This window comes from Homo sapiens, chromosome 19 (assembly GCF_000001405.40).
Source record: "Homo sapiens chromosome 19, GRCh38.p14 Primary Assembly".
Classification (NCBI taxonomy): Eukaryota; Metazoa; Chordata; class Mammalia; order Primates; family Hominidae; genus Homo; species Homo sapiens.
In genome coordinates, this window is record NC_000019.10 from 49,836,616 (window position 1) to 49,860,802 (window position 24,187).

At 54.4% G+C, this 24,187-nt stretch overlaps 2 protein-coding genes, 2 long non-coding RNA genes and 1 other non-coding gene across 16 annotated transcripts in view, besides 7 other annotated features; 3 read left to right on the forward strand and 2 right to left on the reverse strand.

The window, feature by feature from the left end:
* MED25 (mediator complex subunit 25) overlaps positions 1-3,769 on the forward strand; it is a 22,096-nt gene extending 18,327 nt beyond the window's left edge. The window contains exon 18 of one of the 2 annotated variants that reach the window (NM_001378355.1): positions 1,965-3,769. In NM_001378355.1, the coding sequence (NP_001365284.1) occupies positions 1,965-2,209 (245 nt within the window). In that variant the 3' untranslated portion in view covers positions 2,210-3,769. Of the gene's footprint in view, positions 1-231; positions 365-1,964 lie in introns of those variants that run through there. The other variant, NM_030973.4, reaches the window with a different exon arrangement.
* On the reverse strand, positions 2,030-15,061 carry PTOV1-AS1 (PTOV1 antisense RNA 1). The gene is made up of 4 exons (NR_040037.1): positions 14,953-15,061; positions 10,108-10,138; positions 7,701-8,277; positions 2,030-3,461 (listed from the first exon to the last, which is right to left on the reverse strand). It is a non-coding gene; the product is annotated as a PTOV1 antisense RNA 1 (long non-coding RNA).
* Positions 12,362-12,441: an enhancer, noted in NCBI's record as "active region_14959". NCBI's record gives its function as "activates an Ori minimal core promoter by ATAC-STARR-seq in GM12878 lymphoblastoid cells {active_cell/tissue: GM12878}" and the evidence as "EXISTENCE:reporter gene assay evidence [ECO:0000049][PMID:35858748]".
* Positions 13,933-14,012: a silencer, noted in NCBI's record as "silent region_10938". NCBI's record gives its function as "represses an Ori minimal core promoter by ATAC-STARR-seq in GM12878 lymphoblastoid cells {active_cell/tissue: GM12878}" and the evidence as "EXISTENCE:reporter gene assay evidence [ECO:0000049][PMID:35858748]".
* PTOV1 (PTOV1 extended AT-hook containing adaptor protein) lies at positions 14,090-24,127 on the forward strand. Of its 11 annotated transcripts, none has more exons than NR_130963.2 (13): positions 14,090-14,340; positions 17,791-17,928; positions 18,037-18,119; positions 18,216-18,273; positions 18,355-18,462; positions 20,360-20,515; positions 21,078-21,167; positions 21,294-21,362; positions 21,442-21,499; positions 21,934-22,038; positions 23,371-23,568; positions 23,653-23,721; positions 23,999-24,127. NR_130963.2 is itself a non-coding variant. In NM_001364749.2 (13 exons), the coding sequence occupies exons 1-12, from the start codon at positions 14,266-14,268 to the stop codon at positions 23,662-23,664; spliced, it is 1,296 nt and encodes a 431-aa protein (NP_001351678.1). In that variant the 5' UTR covers positions 14,090-14,265; the 3' UTR covers positions 23,665-23,721; positions 23,951-24,127. The 11 variants fall into 11 exon arrangements, 10 of the variants coding, with proteins under 10 accessions (NP_001351678.1, NP_001351676.1, NP_001351674.1 ...); NM_001364749.2 differs by having other exon boundaries at positions 14,090-14,481; positions 21,289-21,362; positions 23,951-24,127; NM_001364747.2 differs by having other exon boundaries at positions 14,090-14,481; positions 21,289-21,362.
* Positions 14,243-14,352: an enhancer, noted in NCBI's record as "active region_14960". NCBI's record gives its function as "activates an Ori minimal core promoter by ATAC-STARR-seq in GM12878 lymphoblastoid cells {active_cell/tissue: GM12878}" and the evidence as "EXISTENCE:reporter gene assay evidence [ECO:0000049][PMID:35858748]".
* Positions 14,453-14,742: a silencer, noted in NCBI's record as "silent region_10939". NCBI's record gives its function as "represses an Ori minimal core promoter by ATAC-STARR-seq in GM12878 lymphoblastoid cells {active_cell/tissue: GM12878}" and the evidence as "EXISTENCE:reporter gene assay evidence [ECO:0000049][PMID:35858748]".
* Positions 17,324-17,383: an enhancer, noted in NCBI's record as "active region_14961". NCBI's record gives its function as "activates an Ori minimal core promoter by ATAC-STARR-seq in GM12878 lymphoblastoid cells {active_cell/tissue: GM12878}" and the evidence as "EXISTENCE:reporter gene assay evidence [ECO:0000049][PMID:35858748]".
* MIR4749 (microRNA 4749) lies at positions 17,976-18,036 on the forward strand. The gene has a single exon (NR_039904.2). It is a non-coding gene; the product is annotated as a microRNA 4749 (primary transcript).
* Positions 19,568-19,627: an enhancer, noted in NCBI's record as "active region_14962". NCBI's record gives its function as "activates an Ori minimal core promoter by ATAC-STARR-seq in GM12878 lymphoblastoid cells {active_cell/tissue: GM12878}" and the evidence as "EXISTENCE:reporter gene assay evidence [ECO:0000049][PMID:35858748]".
* Positions 19,658-19,707: an enhancer, noted in NCBI's record as "active region_14963". NCBI's record gives its function as "activates an Ori minimal core promoter by ATAC-STARR-seq in GM12878 lymphoblastoid cells {active_cell/tissue: GM12878}" and the evidence as "EXISTENCE:reporter gene assay evidence [ECO:0000049][PMID:35858748]".
* PTOV1-AS2 (PTOV1 antisense RNA 2) lies at positions 19,850-22,674 on the reverse strand. The gene is made up of 5 exons (NR_110730.1): positions 22,591-22,674; positions 22,228-22,482; positions 21,939-22,011; positions 21,732-21,812; positions 19,850-20,457 (listed from the first exon to the last, which is right to left on the reverse strand). It is a non-coding gene; the product is annotated as a PTOV1 antisense RNA 2 (long non-coding RNA).

Here is a 24,187-nt window from a genome sequence, read left to right on the forward strand (position 1 = left end):
CTCCTGTGTGTGCTCCTGGGATTGCTGGGAAATGTGGTCTTAGGGCCAGAGAAGTAGTTTTGGAGAAGGGCCCCCAAAGGCTCATGGGAAACAGCATATTTGTAACTAGATGGGGCCAGAAGGTGCTTCTGTTGGGTCCCCCAAGGGCTGCCTAGAAAACTTAGTGCCTCTGGGCCCTCCTGGGCCCAAGGGCCTACTGGGAGATGCAGTCCCTTCCCCACTGCCCCTCAGGTCAGATGCTGCTGAGCGGGGGTCCCCGGGGCCCGGTCCCCCAGCCGGGCCTGCAGCCCAGCGTCATGGAGGACGACATCCTCATGGATCTCATCTGAATCCCCAACACCCAATAAAGTTCCTTTTTAACACACGCCCCGGCTCCCGTCACTGACATCCCTCAGGACTGGGCAGGAGGAAACCCCAGGGGGCATCTCTGTCCTTGTTCTCACTTCAGCAGACATCCCTGGGGCCCTGGGTGAATGACGCTGGGGCCTCCGTGGTGAGTCACAGGCAGTCTGGTGCAACCTGATTCGTGGGAGATGCAGGGACAGGCAGGCAGCGCTCAGGACTCAAGCTCTCATGGAGGTGGCAGGGGCACCATGGGAGCCTGGAAGAGGCATCTGACCCAGCCCCAGCTCCTCAGAGTCTTGAAAGAGAATCAGCCGTCAGGCTGGGAGGGAAGGAGGTGAGGGGTGATCTGGGTGCAGAGGACAACAGAAACTTTGAATACTCAAAGGCAGGAGGAAGCCTGAGACATTGAGAGGAGCAAGTTGATGGATGCTTTTGGAGCATGAGCATGTAGGGAGCTAGAGAGATGGGCAGGTGCAGAGTTTGAGGAGCTCGGATTCCAAACTGAGCAGCCCATGGTTTGTCCTGGGGACACAGGAGAACCAGGAGGCTTTGAGCAGTGGGGCGGGCCTAGGCCAGCTCTGGATGTCAGAAAGACCCCTCTCAGCTGTAGAGCGTGATGAGGCCAGACAGGAGGCCAGGAAAGGTGAGGCTGGGTGGTGGCGGTGTCGGGGGCTGGGGTAGAGGTTCGCTCCCGGGGGCCAGGCCTACGTGATGGTAGGTGGTGGGGCTCCTGGGAGAAGGAGCTGGTAGTAAGTGCAGGTGGTCCAAGGGACATCCAGGTGACAGGTGCCATGTTGGGAGCTCAGGACGTGTCCTTAGGGGACAGTGTATGTTTGGCAGTTCAAGCCACAGAAGCAGACAAGATCGCACATGGAGAGAGGGCAGTCCCTGGGTCCATGTCAGAGACTGACCTTCCAGGGCTGTGGATGGGGAAGACGGTGGGTCTGTCCCCAGGATAGAATACCCAGCAGGGAACAGGTTTGGGACGTGGCAAGGTGAGGGACCTGAAGGATGTCCTCAGAGACGTCCCGAGGGCAGGGGGATCCAGACAGGCTTGGAGCGCAGGGTGGTCTCTCCTGGAGGTGGTGAGTGAGTTGTCTGTTGTTGGACTCTGGACCAGTGTTGCTGAGAGCGCGGTCCATGCCTGGACCACCAGCATCCACATCATTTTGCATGCTGGTTAACGTACAGATTCACGGGCCCCACCCCAGGAGAGAGATTGCAATCTGGTGGCCTATGGGCCATCGTGCGGATGAGTTTTGTTTGGCCTTCCCTGTGTTAGCATATGTGGCATTTTTTTCTTACGAGTTAGTTGTAAAAATCAGGTTAATTCACACACACACACGCACACACACAAAATCTGCAGTCTTGGCTTCTTTTGACAAGTCAGAAGAATTGGCACCCCTGGGCCCGCCCTTCTGCCTGGCAACAATGGGCTGGAGCTGCCCCTCTCCATGGGGCGTGTGCTTTCTGGTTCGCCACAGTCCCCACCACTCCCTCTTGGCTTCCCTGTGAGGCAGAGAGTCACTGCCTTTGTCACGGGGTTTGCACTGTGGTTGTTCTGTGGTAGCATTCAGAGGAAAGTGAAATCTTTCTTGTACCCATGTCTCTATCACAAGCGGCAAAACGAAAGAGAGAAGGAGAGGGCCGTGTGTTTCGAGAAAAATGGGAGCGAGCCTATTTCTTTGTGGAAGTGAAGAGCATGCCTATGTGTTTAATATGCAAACAAATCGTGTCTGTGTTGAAAGAATACAACCTGAAACGCCACTATGAATCAAAGCATAGTAAGAGCTACGACCAGTACACAGAACAGACTCGAGATGCCATCCTCAACGAACTGAAAAAGGGACTCAAATGTCAATAGGGTTTGTTTTGAAAAGCGAATTAACAGAAGTGGCGCGGCAGTGGTACGCCGTTCCGGAATCACGTGAGAAGAATGACCTGGGCATTCAGAGCTACAGCAGATGGCAAGTTTATAAAGGAGCAGAGTGACGTGTCCTGCACAGAAACACATGACTGTTGAGACCGTTATTTAAGTCTAACGGGCATTTGCGTTGCACAGTGAGTTGGAGATAACTCGGGGGATTTACAAGTCCAGTTGCTTGAAAGAGTCAAATTGATTGTGGCCTTTTCTTTCGCTGCTCATAAACTATTACCACCCAGTTAGCTTTATTTATTTGTGGTGTTAAGAATCTTGATGTGACCGAAGAAGTCTGTGGCATGGTGCCAAGGCAGGCCCAACACTGGGAAAGGACTAATTTTTTTTGTATATTGAGAGAAAAGTTTCACATAGACTGGCCAGAGTTCCGAAGCACAACTACAGACAGCGTCATGACAGGGGGACTTGGCAGGACACCTTGATCCAAGGCGACAGCATTTGGCAAGGACACGGAAGTTGGGTCGTTGCATCCATCATCAGGAGTTGACTTGTTCTGAGCAACTGAACAGAACACACCGCGATGCTCTCGACACTTCCGCTCCTGGACTTCAGTCACGAGTGAGTTGATGGTGACTTGACCTGAGAGATTTCACAGAAGCTCTGTGACTTGGTTGTGGAAGAAATCTGAACTGTTCAAGTTAACCAACTTGGTTCATTTTAAATCAGGCAAAAGCCACAGTGGGTTCCCCTGAGAAGGTTAGTCAAAGACTTCTGGTCAAGGTTATGACCGTTCTGAACACTGAATATTTCTCCGCAAGGATGTCCACAAACAGCTACTTGAATGTATGATGGTGTATGCTTGGTCCTGGGGAATCCACCGGCAAGGAAAAAAAACCTTTACTCTTTCCTGTGCTGCAGTCGGCTTTCAGAAATGAAAGAGGTGGCCCGGACTGTATTCACCTACGTCCTGGGGTTGAAGACCAAATTCCCCCAAAGGCTCTCGGAATCCAGACTCATGAGAAGGAACAGACATTGTCCAGTTTGCCTTTGTTGGCAGATGTTTCTTGTGTGAATGCAGACCATAAATAGTAATTGAACTACAGTGCAATACGGCGCTGGTTCCTAAATACAAGTCTGTGTGAAGATGGTGAGATTCTACAACTATCTCCAGTAGTTGTCCTGAATATCTGTGTTTGGGAGTACCCACGCTTGTGAACAGCTGTTTTCCGTTACGAACCTGAATCAAATTAAACATCGTTCCCAGTTGAAGGATTCAAGGCTGAATTCTAAACTGCCCGTCCCCACCGTGCCACCCGAGGCCTGACACTGACATCTCGGTGTGGAAGGGAAGACGCCAGCCTTTTGGCTTCAACTCAAAGGCGCAAAAAGAATTATGAAAGAGAAAATTTTAATAATTAAATATTTCTATTTTTCAATTTGTATTTTTTCAATTTTGAATTTAAAAATATAAACTCCAGTAACATCCATGTTTGTATTATGTTCCATGCATTCACCATAGTTGAGTAAAGATCCGATTTGATGATATTTCTGGCCGTCGACTTTTCTTATACCTGGCTAGTTCACTCATTTATGTGACCCGCCTGGCCCCTGTAGGCATGTGAGTTTCCGATCCCTGCCCTGGAACTGTTGGATCCAGTGGGGGGAGGGCGGGGGTCTGGGAGTCGTGTGAGCAAGCTCTCTAGGCGATCCTCAGGAATGTGAGTGTGGAGCAGGAGGCACTGGTGACAGCGAAGAAGTGCAAGTGGGTGATTTCCCAGGCAGCCTGTGTAGCAGGGGTTTTTGAAAACTCAGATGGCTTCAGGGACCAGGCAGGTGATGAAAATGTGTGAAGCGGACGGGTGTAAGACAACAGGGAATGATGGGGACTGTGGCGAACTTGGAGAGTGCTTGCCCCGCCTAATGGCATTCAAATTGAAAACAAAAACACTGTGAGGACCAAACAAAATCTGCCTGTGGGTCTAATGAGGCCGCCAGGCCGCCATTTTGCGACTGGAAGAAGGAGAAGACTCGAGAACAAGGACAGAACCCTGAGAAAGAGCCACGCGTAAGGGTTGGGCAGGGAGCCAGAAGACAGGAGAACCAGGCAAGTGTGGCGTTCTGGAAGCTGAGTGTTTGAGGAGGGAGCAATCGACTCTGTCAGAAGCCGCTGAGAGGAGCAGGAAGCAGCCTTCAGTGTTTCCACCAGGGTGGCCATGTCCCCCGGCAAGGGAAACGCAGGTTTGGATCAGAAACAAATTGGTTAAAAGGAAAGGTTTCCAGTCGCCAGTTTGGCCATCTCATGCCAGTGGCGCCCTCTTGACCTTAACACTCAAATTAGAGGAACCAGAGGGACTGTCGTGGCCTAATCACACGGTTTACAGGAGTGAACCGGGGCTTGCTTATTAATAGTAGCAGACCTGTTAGGGGTGAAAGAAAATGCCCACCCACCAGCTCCAAAGAGGAATTAGGAGAAAAAGGACACCTCAAAAGGGGTGTTAAGAATGTATTTGTTTCAAGGTACGCAAAACACTAACATATTTTCTCACCATCTTGGCATTTAAAAAAAAATTAACTTTTAAAATGTATTAAGTTACACACACTAGAACAGTTTCCTAAAATGAAAGGCCACTGAAATGTGTGGAATAAAAAGGAGGCCCAGGCTGGGCGCGGTGGCTCACGCCTGTAATCCCAGCACTTTGGGAGGCTGAGGCGGGCGGATCACCTGAGGTTGGGAGTTGGAGACTAGCCTGACCAATATGGTGAAACTCTGTCTTTACTAAAAATACAAAATTAGCTGGCCATGGTGGCACATGCCTGTAATCCCAGCTACTTGGGAGGCTGAGGCAGGAGAATCACTTGAACTCGGGAGGCAAAGGTTGCAGTGAGCCGAGATTGCGCCATTACACTCCATCCTGGGCAATAAGAGCAAACCTCCATCTCAAAAAAAAAAAAACCCACAAAAAAAAAACCAAAAAGGAGGCCCAAGGAATGAGGCCAGATCTAGGCACATGGGACTCACCTCCCCATTTCATAGGTCAGGTGACGATAAGGCCTAAGAACTTCACATGCCCCTTAGAACCAGCCAACACCAACAGAGCAAATCTTTTGGGAAAGTTTTTCCCTGAATACAAGGTTCTCCTAAGGCAAGAAATAGTGAAAACCCTAGAACAGCAGGGTTTAATCCCAAGATTCTGCGCTGATTAGCTCTGTGACCTCGGGCAGGTCCCTGCATGTCTCTGAGCCTCACTTTCTCCATATGTCAAATAGTGACTACCCCAGAGGATTCTCATAAGGAATACAAGATCTGGCCCAGCTCAGTCCTGGACACAGGAGAGCTGCTGGTAGCCACTGTTGTCATCTTTTGGCTGAAATGCACTCTAAGAAGGTAAAAGGTGGGCAAAACTGCTTCTAGAAATGCATGCCAAGCTGGACCTCACGCCTGTGATCCCAGCACTTTGGGAAGCCGAGGTAGGAGAATCGCTTTGAGGCCAGGGTTTCAGGACCAGCCTGGCCAATAAGGTGAGACCCCATCTCTATTTAAAAAATGCATCCTGACTGGGCGTGGTGGCTCACGCCTGTAATCCCAGCACTTTGCGAGGCCGAGGCGGGCAGATCACTTGAGGCTGGGAGTTTGAGATTAGCCTGGCCAACACGGTGAAAGCCTGTCTCTAGTAAAAATACAAAACTTAGTTGTGGTTACGCACACCTGTAATCCCAGTTACTTGGGAGGCTGAGGCATAAGAATCGCTTGAACCCCGGAGGTGGAAGTTGCAGTGAGCCAAGATCGTGCCACCGCACTCTAGTCTGGGTGACAGAGCAAGACTCTGTCTCAAAAAAAAAAAGCATCCTAACTTACAAAAATCACTTGTGTCCAGAAAGGTTATAATTGAGTGAGTGACTTGTTGGAAACATTTTCTTTTTGACCAGTTTGCTTTTGAATCATGCATCATGACTGGAGGCAAGACTGGGGATTCATGAAAATTCTTGCAAAGGAGCAGGTGGTAGGACGTAATTGGAAAAAAGTGATTGTTGAGGCAAAAATGCTAAAACACCAACATATTAATAGTTGGAAACCTGTTCGGGGTGAAAGAAAATGCCCACCCACCTCCAAAGGATTATGAGAAAAAGGACACCTTCTCAAAAGGGGTGTTAAGAATATATTTGTTTCAAGGTACACAAAACACTAACATGTATTTTCTTACCATCTTGGCATTTAAAAAAAATTAACTTTTAAAATATATTGAGTTACACACACTACAACAGTTTCCCAAAATGAAAGGGCGCTGAAATGTGTGGAATAAAAAGTGGAAGTACCACCAGGCATGGTGGCTCACGCCTGTAATCCCAGCACTTTGGAAGGCCAAGGCGGGCAGATCACCTGAGGTCAGGAGTTCGAGACCAGCCTGGCCAACAGGGTGAAACCCCATCTCTACTAAAAATACAAAAATTAGCCAGCATGGTGGCATGTGCCTGTGATCCCAGCTACCCAGAAGGCTGAGGCACGAGAATCACTAGAACCCAGGAGGCAGAGGCTGCAGTGAGCAGAGATTGTGCCACTGACTCCAGCCTGGGAGACAGACCAAGACTCTGTCTCAAAAACAACAACAAAAAGTGGAACTACCCTATCACACCTCACTCTCGCCTCTCCTGCCCAAACACACACCCTGAGCAAACCACTTACCTCCCTAGAGGCTGATGTACCAGTTCTGCATTTGGGTTTACATGCATGCGGTTGTGGATATATTTATAGTTTAATTTTTTTGTATAAGTGAGTCAATTTCTTTGTTCTTTAGCTTGCTTTTTTTTTTCTTCCAACCAAAGTAATGGCCATTATTTATTTATTTATTTATAGACAGAGTCTCACTCCGTTGCCCAGGCTGGAGTGCAGTGGCGTGATCTCAGCTCGCTGCAACCTCTGCCTCCCAGGTTCAAGCTATTCTCAGCCTCCCAAGTAGCTGGGATTACAGGCAGGAGCCACCATGCCTGGCTAATTTTTCGGGTTTTTTTTTTTTTTTTTTTTTTGAGACGGAGTCTCACTCTGTTGCCCAGGCTGGAATGCAGTGGCGCAGTCTCGACTCACTGCAACCTCCACTTCCCAGGTTCAAGCGATTCTCCTGCGTCACCCTTCCGAGTAGCTGGGATTACAGGCGCCCACCACCATGCCCAGCTGATTTTTGTATTTTTAGTAGAGATGGGGTTTCACCATGTTGGCCAGGCTGGTTTCAAACTCCTGACCTCAGGTGATCTGCCCACCTCAGCCTCCCAAAATGCTGGGATTACAGGTGTGAGCCACCGACCTGGCCTGCCTGCACTGTTAATTACCTGTTCCTCTATGTCCCCACTTCTCATGGTGGCCTCAGGTAGTGCACTAAATGGACGCATTTCAGTTCCACGAGCCATCCTGCCTATAAGTTATCTGTTGTGTAACAAACCCCACCACCGAGTGGCTTAAAACAAGAAGCATTTATTGCCTCACCGTTGCTGGGGGTCAAGAATCCAGGCTTGGCTGAGCTGCTGGCTCCCAGGCTCTCGGGGTTGCGGTCGAGCTGGTGGCTGGGGCTGTGCAGTCATCGGAAGGCTCCGTGAGGAGGGCCCACTTCCAGCCCACTCACATGCCTGTTGGCAGGATTCAGTTCCTCACAGGTGATGGGGCCGAGAGCCTCAGTTCCTAGCTGTTGGCTGGAGGTCTCCCTTGTTTTCTCGCCGTTGCAGGCCTCTTCACAGGGCACCTTGCAGTTGCAATGTGGCATCCAGCTTCTCTAGAAATATGAGAAGGGCTGGGTGCGGTGGCTCATGCCTGTAATCCCAGCACTTTTGGGAGGTCAAGGCGGGTGGATCACCTGAGGTCAGGAGTTTGAGACCAGCCTGGCCAACATGGTGAAACCCTGTCTCTACTAAAAATACAAAATATTAGCTGGGCGTGGTGGCAGGCATCTGGGAAATCCCAGCTACTCGGAATGCTGAGGCAGGAGAATCGCTTGAACCCAGGAGGTGGAGGTTGCAGTGAGCCAAGAACACACCATTGCACACCAGTCTGGGCTGCAAGAGTGAAACTGTCTCAAAAAAAAAGAAAAACAGAAATGAGAGAGGACGCCCAAGGTGGAAGCTGCAGTCTTTTGTAACCCAATCTTGGAAGTGATATCTTGTCACTCTTGCTATATTCTGTACATTACAACAAGTTGCTAGGTTCTGCCCACACTCAAGCTGAGAGGACAGTGCAGACAGGAGGTGAGGGTCATGGGGGCTGTCTTTCAGGGTGCCCACCACACTGCACCCTGCCAGTTGAGGGCCTGTCCAGTTTTTCTTTTATTTCTTCTTTTTTTTTTTGAGATGGAGTCTCGCTCTATTGCCCAGGCTGGAGTGCACTGGTGTGATCTCAGCTCACTGCAGCCTCCGCCTCCCGAGTAGCTGGGATTACAGGCACATACCACCACACCCAGCTAATATTTGTATTTTTAGTAGAGATGGGATTTTGCCATGTTGCCCAGGTTGGTCTCGAACTCCTGACCTCAAGTGATCCACCCACCTCGGGCTCCCAAAGTGCTGGGATTACAGGCGTGAGCCACCACGCCCGGCCAGTTTTTCACTATTATCAGACATGCTGGAGAGGATGAATGTGTATTTTTTTAACCCACTTGTGCAGGCATTCCTATGGGATGCATTCCCAGCAGCAGAATTTCAAAACTAAGTATGCCAACTTTATTTACATGACCCAAAAAATGTTGTATTCATGTTTCGCATATACGAGAAACCTTCCTATGGTTCACACTTGGAGGGGCTCCAGAAACCAACCAATGCAGTCTCTCTCAGCTCCCTCTAGAGATCAGTTACCAATTGCTTAAGTGTCTTTTCAGAGAGACGTATAAGCAGGTACAAGCAAATAGAGAAACTGATTGATTTTCTGGCTTTTCTATCCAGTGGCAATCTCCTTTATTCTATCATTTTTTTGTTTGTTTTTCAATCTAACAACATATCTTGAAGTTTGGACAAAAAGCCTTCATTTTATTTATTTTTAAAAATAGCCCAGGGGGCTGGGCACAGTGGCTCCTGCCTGTAATCTCAAACCCAGGACGCTGGGTTTGGGGATAGGGCAGATGTATGTCTTTTACAATCTGGGAACACTCAGCATGGTCTGTGCTGGAGGGCAGATGGTGGCAGAGAGGCTGAGAAGCGCGGCAGTGACGAGGGTAAGACGGTCCCAAGCCCGAGGGGCTTGGCCCCTTGTTTATTCCACAAAGTGGAGGCCAACACCTACTGAGATTAAGAACCTGGGCCCTGTCCCTGTCCCGTGTCTCCGCAGCCTGTGACGTCAGGCTTTTGCTTCCAGATCCTTGGTTTCCCCATCTGTGGAGTGGGGATTAAAAGATTGTTGAACTCATGGCCTGCTGTGTGAGAATTCAGTGAGTTCAGACATGAAGTTCTTGAGAAATATTAACTACTATTATTGCCAGGGGTCTCACTCTGTCAACCCTGGAGTGCAGTGGCATGACCTTGGTTCACTGCAGCCTCTGCCTAGAGGGGTCAAGCAGTCTTCCCACCTCCACTTGTCGAGTAGCTGGGACTACAGACACGCACCACCATGCCCAGCTAATTTTTGTATTTTTTGTAGAGACAGAGTTTTACTCTGTTGCTCAGGCTGGTCTCGAACTCCTGGCCTCAAGTAATTCTCCTACCTCAGCCTCCAGAGTAGCTGGGACTAGAGACATGTAACACCACGCCTGGCTAGTTTTATAGTTGTAGAGATGGGGTCTTGCTATGTTGCCCAGGCTGGTCTCAAACTCCTGGGCTCAAGCAATGCTCCAACCTCAGCCTCCCAAAGTGTTGAAACTACAGGTGTGAGCCTCTGCGTCTGGACACACACGATGATGACAAAGTTGAAATACCTAGAGTTTGCAAAGCATGTATCAGGCAGACCTTTAAAAAAAAAATCAGCCATAAACTATTTTGTAATTGCAAAGAAAGAAAAGAAAAATCCAAGCCAGAGATGATCTTACTCCCATTTCTTAGCATAAAGCATTTTATTATCTTTTTTATTTGTTTGTTTTGAGACGGAGTCTCACACTGTTACCTGGGCTGGAGTGCAGTGGCACAATCTCAGCTCAATGCAACCTCCGCCTCCTGGGTTCAAGTGATTCTCCTGCCTCAGCTTCCCAAGTAGCTGGGATTACAGGCACCCACTACCATGCCCAGCTAATTTTTTGTATTTTTAGTACAGACATGGTTTCACCATGTTGGCCAGGCTGGTCTTGAACTCCTGACCTCATGATTTGCCCGCCTCAGCCTCCCAAAGTGCTGGGATTACAGGTGTGAGCCACCGCACCCAGCCTATTAGCATTTTTTGAGACAGAATGTCGCTCTGTCGCCCAGATTGGAGTGCAGCTCACTGCAACCTCCGCCTCCCCGGGTTTAAGCAATTCTCCTGCTTGAATTGGAGGATCAATCAGGAGACTGTATTTGTATTCCTGAGTAGCTGGGATTGCAGGCGCCTGCCACCACGTCTGGCTAATTTTTGTATTTTTAGTAGAGATGGGGTTTCACCAGGTTGGCCAGGCTGGTCTCCTGACAACAGGTGATCCACCTGCCTCAGCCTCCCAAAGTGCTAGGATTACAGGCATGAGCCACCGTGCCCGGCCAGTATAAAACACTTTGTCCATGTTGTCATTGTGTCCTAGCCTATGTCATCCAACCTATATGTACTGCCAGTTTGTTCTTCTAGGAAACTCAGACTTGGTAGTTGATTGGTTTAACAAATGTTGGTTAAACTGGGATTATTTGGGAAAAAAAAATTGTGTATATCAGGAAAGGCCAGATTACCCCCAGATTGCAGTGGCTTGAAACAGCCAAGGTGGATTTTGTCACTCGTGCTGTATTGAGTGTCAGCTTGGAGCCCGTGCGGACAGATCATGAAGGTTGCCAATGGACATAGTAAAGGCAGAGGGGTCTGGTCTTCCATTAGCAATTATGTGCTCTTGCTGAATTCACATGTGTCACTTCTGCTCATATCTCATTGGCCAGATGTAATCACATGGCCTCACACCTTACTGGCCAAAATTAATCACATGGCCGCACTCAAGCTAAATGGGGTCAAATGCTGGCCAAGTGTGGAGCTAGAAATATATGGCAAATAGCACTAACGGCCATCTTAACACTTTAAACATCTTATTTTAACCAAGAACATTTAAACAGACATCTCTTGTACGTAGGACCAAGACCCTTTCTTTCAGTATTGGTCTCCTAGTTAGCACACGACATTACATTCTTGTTTTTGAGACAGGGTCTCACTTTGTCACTTGGACTGAAGTGCAGTGGTGTGAACACGGCTCACTACAGCCTCAATCTCCTGGACTCAAGAGATCCTCCCACCTCAGCCTCCTGAGTAGCTGGGACCACAGGTGCATGCCACCATGCCTAGAAAATTATTGTTGTTTTTGTAGAGGTGGGAGTCTCACTGTGTTGCCCAGGCTGGTCTCGAGCTCCTGGGCTCAAGCAATCTTCCCACCTCAGCCTCCCAATGTGTTGGGATTACGGGCATGAGCCACTGCGCCCAGTAGAACATCACATTCTTGTATAAGCTCCACCCACAAACCACAATGAGTCATTTTTTTAAGTGGCTTGAGAACCTAAAGACATTTATGAAACAAACTGGGGGCTGAGTCTTCCTAGGTTTTTATAAGCTTTTTCATTAAATAATTTACAGTTGCTTTACTTGTACCTAACTTGGCAGCATTTTTTTTTTTTTAAGAGATGGAGTCTTGCTTTGTTGCTCAGGCTGGAGTTGCAGTGGTGAGATCTCAGCTCACTGCAACCTCCACCCCCTGGGTTCAATCGATTCTCCTGCCTTAGCCTCCAGAGTAGCTGGGACTACAGGCATACACCACCATGCCCGGTTAACTTTTGTATTTTTAGTGGAGACGGTGTTTCACCATGTTGGCCAGACTGGTCTTGAACTCCTGACCTGAAGTGATCTGCCCACCTCGGCTTCCCAAAGTGCAGAATTACAGGTGTGAGCCACCACGCCTGGCATGTTTTTCTTTTAACAACTCCCTTTTAGTCTTTCCAAAGCAAGCAATCTGGTTTGTGTATAAACAACTGTCTTGCATTAATTTCATTAGTTTGATAGTAAATTAAACAAGAACTTCTGGCATAAACAGGTTTGGATCAAACAGCTACCTTTCAGGAAGTAAACAGCTTGAGAGATGGAAGTGGAATTGCTTAGTCATAATAGTAGCCTGCTAGCCCCAGCAGTGGGCTTCACAGATGAAAAGGAAAGTGTCTTTCAAGTTGGTGGACCGAGTTAAGTGAGATGGTTTCAGAGAGTTTTGTTGCAGTATTACTGATAGAATTTCAGCCTACATTTTCATTTCACTTTCTGACATGAGTTCCCATTTTGCTCACTCTGGAGTACACCCTGGTATACCGCTCTCCATGCTTATACAATTCAGGGCATTCAAACTCACGTGTGTCCTGATGGGTTCTGAGGGATGGGAAGGCATTAACAGGTAGAGAACAGGAAGGATGGGAGAGAGATTTTTTGGGGGGCGGCAGCAGGGGCCACAGTACCAAGTTTGGATTTAATTCTAAAGGCACTGGGAAGCCATTGGATGGTTTTGATTATTGTAGTGACAGAGAAGGCAGCAAGAGTTAGGAGACGTCACCCAGGCAAGAGATCTTGATGGTTTGGACCAACAAGAATGGGGAGAAGTGAGGATTCCGGGAGATTAAAGCAGCTCCTGTTTTTTCTCCTTCCTGCTGCCAGGTTGTCCTCACATGGGTGATTGACAGGGCATTGGAGGTACCTGTTGATAACTAACTTGCAGTTTGTGTTCAGGGAGCACTGACTCCGTTTGGCCACAATGCAGGTTGGATTTGGGGTTTAAGGCTGGGCTCCAGTCAGCCCTCGGGAGCCCCTGGGCAGGAAAACATGGACAGGCCTACGGGTTCTTCTGCCATTTCACTGGCCACTCCTCCGTGTCCTTTGCTGGTTGCTTCTCATTGTCGTGACTGCTAAAGGGATGAGTGTCCCAGTCTCTTTGTGAGCTCATCCAGTCTCCATTCAAACACTGATGACTCCCGAATTTCTCTCTCCAGGCTATGACATCAATATCTATCTACATTGTTTAGTCAACATCCGAAACAGAAGTAGGGACTCCGTCTCTAACCTCCTACAGCTGTGTCTATTTCTCCTCTCTACCTTCACTCGACTCCGCCCACACTGGCTCCCTTTTATTCCTTCTACTTTCAGGATTTGTCTTTGCTGTTCTGTCCTCTTTGCACACTTTTCCAGCCATCTGGAATGGCAGGTTGCTCACAGGTCGTTTTCTTGACTTCCCTTGCTTGCTAACTTTACCTCGCTATGGTCATATCCCATCGCCCTGTGGATGTGCGCTAGTTAACACTTAGCACAGCCTGTGATTATGTCTCTCCCCAGTGGACCGTGGGGCCTGTGAGGGACGTGGTCTGATTCGGTCGTCGCCGAGCACAGAACTGGACAGGGTACTCATAACAGATTTTTGTTGTTGTTTTTAAAGAAAAGCTAACATTTGAGTAGTGACTGCGCCAAGCAGTCAAGCACAGCCCCTCGGGCTCGATCCCCATAACCACTCTAGGGTTAGGTATTACCCACGTTTAAGGAACAAAAATCGAGGGAAAAATCTTATACAACTACTAGTAAGTAGTCATTCCATTTTAGCAGAGCGAATGAGCGAATCCACGGAAGGCCGGGGAGCGACGTGAGTGGCGAGAAGCTTGGAGTCGCCAGGGACGGCGGGCGGAGCCTGGGCGCCGGGGCTAATGGGCGGAGCCTCCAGGGACAGCTGGCCCCGCCCAGGCCGCGCGGGGCCCGCTGGGAGTTGGAGTCCCTTGCCCACCTCGCCACGTCACCGACTGCAAACCTTCAGCTGTCTCAGGCTCGGGTGCAATCCGTACCCTCAGTGGGTTCCCTTTCAGTGGGTTCCTTTGTCCCCAGGCCCATTATTCCGTCCTCCCCTCTTCCCTGATGTATTTTGGCGCGGTCTCCTGGCTCTGCGGGCCCAGGGCTCCGGATGAGGTCTCCCGCCGTCCCGACCCCCGCAAGGGGCCAGCTTGGTGTCGCCTTCGTTCTTCTGCCACCCCATTCGGTAGGGGCTCCCGTTCCCGCCACGCCCCCTGAAGTTGTGGCTCGCGCGTCTTCCCAGGACTCCCCCGCGCCGGAGAGGCCCGCAGGACCGCCGAGCCCACACTCCGCTCCCGCCCGGGCCCCGCTCCCCCGCGCCGCCTTGGTACGCTCCGGCCACGCCCCCTCGGACGCGCTTGGTACGCGCCGGGCTCCCCCGCTCGCCTCAGTGGTTCGGCCGCGGCGACCCCACTCCGGCGGCGCGTCCCCCGAGCTTGGTACGGCTCAGCCCGTCTCCCCCGAAGCCGCGCGCCCGCGCCCGCGCCCCTCAGTCGGTGGAGCCCGCAGCCCCCCTTGTGGCCCGCGGCAGCTCCCCGCCCGCTCGGCCCGCGCCCGCCATGGTCCGTCCGCGCCGTGCCCCGTACCGCTCCGGCGCCGGGGGCCCCCTCGGGGGTCGCGGCCGCCCTCCGCGGCCCCTCGTGGTGCGCGCCGTCCGCTCGCGCTCCTGGCCTGCCAGCCCCCGAGGCCCGCAGCCTCCGCGGATCCGGGCCCGCTCGGCCCCTCCCATGGTGAGCCCCCCGCCCTTTTTCCAGAGCCTTCCACGGCCCCGCCCCCCCAGCCCCTATCCCGGGCTCACGCCTTTGTCCGCAGCCCCCGCCGCTCCGGGGTGTCCCCTGTGGCCCGAAGGGTGGTCCCGCCCGGGGCCGGGTTCCCCCGTGGAGCACCCGGTGGTTCGCGCCGCGCTCTCCCCTTTGTTGCGCGTTCGGGCCGGGGTGGGGGGTTGGGGGACGGGGGCGGGGCGGGCTCATATTACTGCTGACTCCGCGGCCCGATTTAAACGCGGGCTGGGGGCGGCAGACAGGCAGCCGGCACGCTCGCTTGTTTTTCCTATTGGAGAGTTGCTCGCTCTCCGGGCAGGAAACCTGGAAATGGGGGCGGTTTTGGGGGACAGCGGCGAGGGAGGGGCCCGCGCTTTGTACCAGCGCCCCCAGATGTCGCACCCGTGGGCGTTCTCCCCTGGCGGCCGCTCCGTGCCCGTGGAGTGCGCACCTAGAATACGCGCCCGCGCCCACATGTGGGATGCTTTGATGGACTGCCGTGAGCCCAGACCTTAAACGTAAACATTCAGCTTCGCAGGTACTTTGGGCTGCACACGCTTCTCCGGACCCAAAAGATGCACATGCTTTTCAGAAACCGTAAGGTTTACCTGGGGCTGTAAAACCGCACATCGCGACTTTGCACCGTGCACACGCTTGCCCCGATGTGAGATTTCCCCTGGGTTCGCGCTCGGGTCCGCTTCTTAAATACACTGCCTCAGCGGTGTGGATGGCACAGAGCTGTGGCAGCCCTACTGAAACCTTAAACAGGCTTCCTGGGGTCATAAACATGGATACCGAGACTTAGATCACCTCCCACAACTTAAACGTACCCCTTCACTCCACTGCCTTCGCCCCTTCCTGCAGCATTCGCATCTAGTTGTTCAAAAGTGCTTTCCGGGTCCTCAGACATGCACCCCAAGGTTTTAAACCTCAGTGCAAGTACTAGATGGGCTTCCCTGTGCAATAGGGATGTCAGGCGCGCAGTTTTGCACACGATTGCCAAGATGTGAGATTTACTTTAGGTTGCACCTTAACCGTCGTTTTTAAATATGATCGTCCCATCTTGATGTGCTGCTCCTGCTGTGGAAGGTATCCCTGGGTTTTAGGCAAGCATATGTGTTCTTTACTATGGCTCCAGATCCCAGCATATTTGAAGTCCTGAGTCAACCTGCTCTCCTAGACAAGCAGACATTAAGTATGTCGCTTGGGCTCTTAAGTGCGTTCTCCTGACTTTTACCCATCTTTGTGGCAGTAAATGCATACGTGTCACTGTATATGCGGACTAGATACCTCAGGTCCCAGCGCCATAAACAACTTGTATGTTGTAAGTGTACCCTCATCTCGAAAGTCACCTCCAGCTGTGCGTTTTAACTCATCTCAGATGCTGGATGTCCGGTATGGTGCCTGAAGCCCCCGGGGCAACATCCACTCTCTGTCCAACTCATTCTAACGCCAAGATACTCAGGTTTTCTATCTGATCTTCTGACGACTGCCCAAAAGTCAGAATCACCTGCGTGGGTGAAGAATCACCTGCGTGGGTGGAGAATCACCTGCGTGGGTGGAGAGCAAGTTTGTTCAGGTTTTTCTCTTTTTAAGCACTCACAAAATAAAATTTTTTGTGTTTGCTAGTATTCTGGAAGGAAAGATCTCCTTGTGCTTCATAGAAAATTTGGAAAATACCTGTTTGTAATAAGATAAAAATAAATCACCCTTATAATTTGTTTTCCCCCGCCTGGAGGCGCCTATTACGGGGAAACTCTCGTGGGTTTCCTGCTGCCAGGCTGTTTGCGGAGCTTTCCCTTGTTTGCTTTGAGATGTTTTTGGTTTTAAAAAACAATAAGTGAGGTCAGGCTTGGTGGCCCTCGTCTGTAATCCCAGCACTTTGGGAGGCCGAGGCGGGCGGATCACTTGAGGTCAGGAGTTCGAGACCAGTCTGGCCAACATGGTGAAACCCCATCTCTACTAAAAAAAAAAAAAAAAAAAAAATTAGCCGGGCATGATGGCGCGGCTTGCAGTGAGCGAGGTTGCAGTGAGCTGAGATCGCACCACTGCACTCCAGTCTGGGAAATGAGTGAAACTCTGTCTCAAAAAAAAAATAGTAATAAAAATAGTGGGGAGAGTGCCTGTGAGTAGCATTTGTGGCGTTGCTTGGCTTTATTGCTAGAACTTTCTCTTGGTGTTCTACATGTTTTGGTCTGTGAGACCCCTCTGGGGGTGGTGTCCCAGCTGTCTTCCAAATGTTTCCCCCTTTTCCTCGCTGTCTTTCTCCTGGATGGTTTAGTCCCCTCTGTGTTTCTTGTCATCTCCTTCCTGCCTCCCCCCGGGGTCAGACTTATAAGGCCAGAGAGGTGGGCACTGGCCTGAGCCAGAGGAAGGAATTGAACTTTGGGATGACAGGGAGCTTTAGGAGAGTTTCAGCCTGGGAAAGACAGGGCAAGCTGGTGTGTGGGACAGACACAGCGCAAGCCGGCTTGTGCCTGTGGAGGCTGCAAGGAAGCCCTGGGCCCAGCCTGGGGCACGGGGAAAGCCCCCTACAGCTGGCTTCTAACTTGGGTCTCAAGAATCGATCAGGCGCACAGCTGGGGCAAAGGCTGGAGGTGGGGCTGGCTGAAGGCTTCAGGACTCTGCTGGGCCAGTGTCAAGGTGACAGCAGGCTCTGGGAAGGAAGGGTCCTGAGGGTGGGCAGCGGGAAAGGACATGAGGACCAGCGTGTGGGGGTCCTGAGGGGTGAGCAGAGGGTTTGGACATGGCCCCGTGGGCTTCCAGCAGGGGATTTGGGGCTGAATATTGGGACGTCCCCTCTGGGGTGTGTGGGGACTGCCTGTCCTTGCAGGCCCCGGCCTCAGTTTTCCCACCTATCCCCCACTCCATTGCAGGAAGGTGCTCGGGTCTTCGGGGCACTGGGTCCCATCGGTCCCTCCTCACCTGGGCTCACCCTCGGGGGTCTGGCCGTGAGCGAGCACCGGCTCAGCAACAAGCTGCTGGCTTGGAGCGGCGTCCTCGAGTGGCAGGAGGTGAGTCTCTGTGGGGCTGCGGCTGGCCTCCAGGGTCTTGTCTTGTCCCTGCGGGGACAGGCCAGGGCATCTAGGCTGTGCACAGTGACGCCCCTCCTGCCCCCACAGAAGCGCAGACCCTACTCTGACTCCACTGCAAAGCTGAAGCGGACCCTGCCCTGCCAAGCCTACGTGAACCAAGGCGAGAACCTGTGAGTGCCGGGGCGTGGCAGCCAGGGCGGTGGCAGGGGCAGTGGCTGTGGCCGTGGGGATCAGGGCAGCCCTTTCTGACCAGCTCCTTCCCATAGGGAGACCGACCAGTGGCCGCAGAAGCTGATCATGCAGCTGATCCCTCAGCAGCTGCTGGTGAGACCCGCCCCTCCCACCCCATCCACTCTGAGCACCCCCATGCCTGGCTGACCCAGCTGTCTGTCCTGTCGCCCCCAGACCACCCTGGGCCCCCTGTTCCGGAACTCCCAGTTGGCACAGTTCCACTTCACCAACAGAGACTGCGACTCGCTCAAGGGGCTCTGCCGCATCATGGGCAACGGCTTCGTGAGTGGGGCGGGCTCCCTTGTAGCACTGTGGTGACAAGTACAGCTGGAGGCAGCGCTCTGCTCACACAGTCCAGGCGGGGGTCGGGGGGTCTCCCCTGGGGCCGAGGGTAGCCCTCGTGGCCTCTCGGACCCCATCTGGAAATGACTGACTCCAGGCACCCTCCGTAGAGCACAGGGTGAAGGAACTCAGCCTGAGAGGCCTCCAGTTTCTGCATCTGTGCCCAGCTTCGAGGTGGCCCTGGGGGCGTGAGTGCAGGGAGGGACTGGGGCCAGCCCTGTTGGGGCCCAGGAGCCTGTCGGGGACACATAGCGTATGGCAGGGACCTGGTAAATGGGTGTGCTAGGCACAAGAGCCAGCCAGGAGGGAGTGGCACGTTGGGGCTTGGTATTCTGGTCTGTAAAATGGGCTAACCTCCCCGAGTGGCCTGAGCTGGCCGTGAGGGAGCAGAGCTGAGGGTGCTGAAGCAGGCGCGGTGAGTAGGTCCTCAGGCCTGGCTCCAAGGGGACCCAGGTATCCAGCCAGTGGCTGTGCAGGGACTGAGTGGGGCAGGCGCGGCCATGACCTGGACCCGGGGGGCTGCCAAGGGATCTGAGAGCGGCTTCCGCAGCACTCCAGGGTTGGGCTGGTTGAGGGGTAGAGATGACATTTTCTGAGGTAGGGAGGACAGGGGAGCCGTGCTTCCTAGGGCCACCGGGAGGCTGGAGGGAGGGAATTTGTGTAAAGCGCTTGAGATGGTGACTTTAGTACCTAGTGAGTGCTGGGTGAACCCAGCTGGTGAGGCTGTTCAGGTGACTGAGATTCTGGCGCAGGGCAGGTCAGAAAGGGGGCTTGGGCTGTGAAAGATGGCAGGTGCTGGAGAGGAGGCAGGGGTGGGGTGGGAGCGAGTTGTCTGCCCAGAGGACCTGGCTCTGGGACATTCCCAGTCCCTGTTCCCTGTTGGGACAGTCTGCCTCTACCCGTCCCAGCTGCCGTTGAGCGCCCTGGGTTCCGCTAGGGCCTCCCTTCTCCCTCAGGAGACCAGGGGCAGACCAGGGCTTGTGCCTGGCATGAGGTCTCTTAAGTGACCCGTTCCCCCTTCACCCAGCACCGTTTGTTGAGGGCCTGCCATATCTGGGCCCCGAGTACCCAGTCTGTAGGGAAAGTGGACATCCATACTCACCCCCCAGGCATGGCCCTGGGAGGCTGACTGTGCATGGCTCCAGGGAGGCCAGGGACAGGGCCCTGAGCGGGTGATCCCTGGGCTGGACACCAAGGTTGAGAAGTTAGGCCGGCAGCGTGGAGGGGACAGCACTGTGGGGGTGGCCCGGTGTGGGGAGGGGACATGGGGTTTTGGGACGGTCACACCACTTCATCTAGACACCACAGCCAGGCACATCTGTCAGGCTTAGTTCTCCCATGCGCCATCCTCAAGAGGCACCAGCACTTTATCTGTTGAGCCTTTATGTGGCACCAACTGTGTGCACTATTACCCGGTTTTACAGATGATGGAGGCCCAGAAGCAGGAGGTGGCTGGTGTTAGGTCACACAGCTAGGAGGCAGCAGAACGGTGGGGCGCTGCCTGTGCTCTTAACCCCCAGGCCAAGTCACCCCATCAGGCAGTCAGGAGGGCTGGCGGCAGGGGGTGATGTGGGTGGGAGGTAGTGCCTTCTTGGCATTCTCACCGCAGCCTGGGTGCCGGGTGCCACTCTGACCTCAGCCATGGCAGGGTCGGGGGATGCCGATGGGCGCTGCACGGGCTCTCAGAGGCCCCTCACCTATGGCCATGGCCTTGACTGTGGGGGCCTCTGTCCACCGATGATCTCCCTTCATCCCCTACAGGTGGGGCGGTCCAGGGTGGTGGGGGCACAGTGGCCCCGGGCAGTGACCACAGGGTCCTGACCCGCGGCCCCCGCAGGCGGGCTGCATGCTGTTCCCCCACATCTCCCCCTGTGAGGTGCGCGTGCTCATGCTCCTGTACTCGTCCAAGAAGAAGATCTTCATGGGCCTCATCCCCTACGACCAGAGCGGCTTCGTCAGTGCCATCCGGCAGGTCATCACCACCCGCAAGCAGGTGTGCCAGCCAAGCACAGCCCCTCTGGGGACAGAGGGGGATTAGACCCCACTGCCCTGGTTGGGCAGCCAGACTTGGTGTGGGCGGAGTGTGATGCGATGGCTGGAGCAAGGAGCTGCAGGGGAGCCCGGAGGATGCCGGGCGGGTTCCCACCAGGGCTCCATGGAAAAGCGGCCACTGGGCGGCTCTGCAGGGCTGGAGGGTGGGTCTTGGCGCGGCGGCAGGGAAGCCAGCGGAGCGGGGAGCTGGGCAGGGGTTGGGATCGTCCTGCGGCTGGAAGGCCCTGCCTGGTAACCACGTGTCCTGGTCATGCCTTGCCAGTTGAGGCAGACTCTGCAGGTCCTGTGCACCAGGTGAGGGCCGGGACCTGTCTCAGGCCACTGGGGAGCCATGGGGGGCTGTGAGCAGATGAGGGGCAGGGCCTGTTCCCCTGGGACTAGAGAATGGACCCAGCTGGGGCTAACAGGCCAAGGCTCGGAGGGAGGGATGGCAGGCCCCAGGACAGACAGACAGGTTTCCCAGGAGCCTGGGCCCCTCTTCCCACCCCGTTCCCTTCCAACAGGCAGTGGGACCTGGTGGTGTCAACTCAGGCCCAGTCCAGATCGTCAACAACAAGTTTCTGGCATGGAGTGGTGTCATGGAGTGGCAGGAGGTGAGCACTCGGCAGCCCAGGGACTTGGGACCCCCAGATCCTCACGGACTGTGGCTGGGAGGGGACACTGGCATTGGGGGTCTCCAGCCCTGAGGGCTCCTCTTTGCCTCTCCCCCAAAAGCCCAGGCCTGAGCCCAACAGTCGGTCCAAGAGGTGGCTGCCATCCCACGTCTACGTGAACCAGGGGGAGATCCTGTGAGTGCTGGGCTGGGGGGTGGAGGCAGCATCCAGGGGAGCTGGGGCTTCCTGACCCTCGTCCCTTTGTGCCCCACAGGAGGACCGAGCAGTGGCCAAGGAAGCTGTACATGCAGCTCATCCCGCAGCAGCTGCTGGTGAGGGGCTGGGGCCGGGTGCTGGAGCCTGCACGCAGTAGCTCTTCCAGAGGGCGGGGCTGGGGGCAAGAGCGCCTCCCCAGGTGGCCTGAGCTGGCTGTGAGGGAGCGGAGCTGAGGGTGCTGAAGCAGGTGTGGTGGGTAGCTCCTCAGGCTTGGCTTCAAGGGGTCCCAGGCAGCCAGCTGGTGGCTGTGCAGGGACTGAGCGGGGCAGGGGCAGCCACGACCTGCACCTGGGGGGCTGCCAAGGGATCTGAGAGCGGCTTCCACAGCACTCCAGGGTTGGGCTGGTTGAGCGGTGGAGATGACGTTTCCTGAGGTAGGGAGGACAGGGGAGTCTCAGTTTGGTCCTGGGCCCGGGGGACTCAGCGGGCTGGGAGCCGGGAGGCCGTGGTGGGAGAAGCCAGAGCTGGGGGTCCCCTCGCTTCCCCGCAGACCACCCTAGTGCCGCTGTTCCGGAACTCGCGCCTGGTCCAGTTCCACTTCACCAAGGACCTGGAGACACTGAAGAGCCTGTGCCGGATCATGGACAATGGCTTCGTGAGTGGTGCCAGCAGACGCAGGGGAGGGGCCGGCCAGGGCAGAGCGAGCCCGGACCGCTCACGGGGGCGGACATGGGAGAGGAACAGAGCACCATGTCCCAGACCAGCTGGGGAGAGAGGGTGGCTAGTGTGGGCGTGACTTCTGGGGGCTCTGTGCTGTCCCCACGGCACTGGATGGGGCACTGACCCTGGTTCTGCGGGGGCCTGCTCCTCCTCTGCCACATCAGGGCTGACTCAGCACCAACTCCGCGCTCTCCACTCCTCAGGGACAGGCGCCCTTGTCACTCCTGGTTTCCCGGGAGCTTGTGCCACATCCCAAAGGCCCATTGCTGGGCAGGGAGGGCTGTCTGCCCCCAGCAAGGTCCCAGAATATTTGGCGATTGTCTTATCTGGGGGAGGCTCAGCTGACTCCTCTTCTCTCTCTCGGGCTCAGTTTCTCCATCTGTGAGGTGGAGAAGGTTGGACTTTGGTGTTTCTGAGCCCTCCCCCCGATGTCCACCTTCCAGCTGGGCCATACTTGGGTAATATCCCGAAACTACCTTAAAATTACCTTCGACTCAGTCTGAGTAAACTGTCCACGAAGCTGTTCGTGGGTGGGGGGGGCCTGGGTGTAGGTGCTTTTACATGAAAGCAATTTCAAGCATTCCCTCAGGGGCCGGGTGCGGTGGCTCACGCCTGCAATCCCAGCACTTTGGGAGGCCGAGGCGGGTGGATCACCTGAGGTCAGGAGTTTGAGACCAGCCTGGCCAACATGGTGAAACCCCGTCTCTACTAAAAATACAAAAATTAGCCAGGCATGATGGCCACTCAGGAGGCTGAGTCACAAGAATGGCTTGAACCCGGGAGGCAGAGGTTGCAGTGAGCTGAGATCATGCCATTGTACTCCAGCCTGGGCGACAAGAGCGAAACTCAGTCTCAAAAAAAAAAAAAAAGTTTCCTCAAGGAAACCCAGAAAGGCTCCATGTACCTCAGCCCTTGCTTGTGCTGGGCCGGCCGCTGCAGATCCCTCGGGCTCCTGAGTTGAAGCCATGGCCGGTTGGCTCAGGTGGCTGTGGTGAGGTGGCCCCAGACACAGCCTGGCCTGCCCAGGAGCTCTGAAATGCAGGTTCTTGGGCCCTTCCCGACAGAGCCTGTTGGCCTTTGGCCCACCCATTGCTCTTGGCCACCGTGTCATCCCAATAAGGGGGCCCACCTCCAGGGTGGGTGGGGGGTGTGAGGACAGAGCAGTTAGGCTGTGCCTGGCTCATGGAGCCCACGGCATGATGCCGTGGTTGGAGGGATGCTGGTCCCTGTGGTGCTGTCTGGTGACACCACGCCCTGTGCCTGCCAGGCCGGCTGCGTGCACTTTTCCTACAAAGCATCGTGTGAGATCCGCGTGCTTATGCTCCTGTACTCTTCAGAGAAGAAAATCTTCATTGGCCTCATCCCCCATGACCAGGGCAACTTTGTCAACGGCATCCGGCGTGTCATTGCCAACCAGCAGCAGGTCCTGCAGCGGAACCTGGAGCAGGAGCAACAGCAACGAGGGGTGAGGTGGCCGGCCTCCAGGGCTGCTCAGTCTCCCTCCACCCCCGCTGCCTGCTCACCACTGGCCTCTGATTTCTCGCCGTAGATGGGGGGGTAGTGGTTACCCCGGGCTGGGCCCCTCCAGGAGTCACAGATGAGGCCCCCGCAGAGACTGGTGAGTGGTGACCCTGTCATGTACAGGAGGGACCCTGGGGCATGTGGGGGGGGTGGGGTTGGGAAAGAAGCAGGGCGACCTTGGCCTTGGGGAGAGCAGAGCAGAGGGAGAGGCAGCAGTCCCAGCGGTCCTAGGCTGTCGGGAAACTGCAGCCCAGCCTCAGGGCCATGGGAGGTGGTATCCAGGCCTGGGTGGGGCCAGGCCTCTGCTCACAGGGATGTGGGGTCAGTGCTTGGGAGCCTGTGGCCAGCAGCCCCCACTGCACCCCTGCCCCCAGGTGACACGCTTCTGAGCAGGGGCCCCTGGGGACTTCAACTGCCCAGCAACATGGAGGATGGTGTCCTGAGGCCTCCAAGGACGGTCCCCACCCCTCTACGTTTCCCCAATAAAGCCTTTTAAAAACCTGCCTGCCTTCTCTGCTCACTGCCCGATGCCTTGCAGCCCCCTAGCTCTAAGGTGGCCCAGC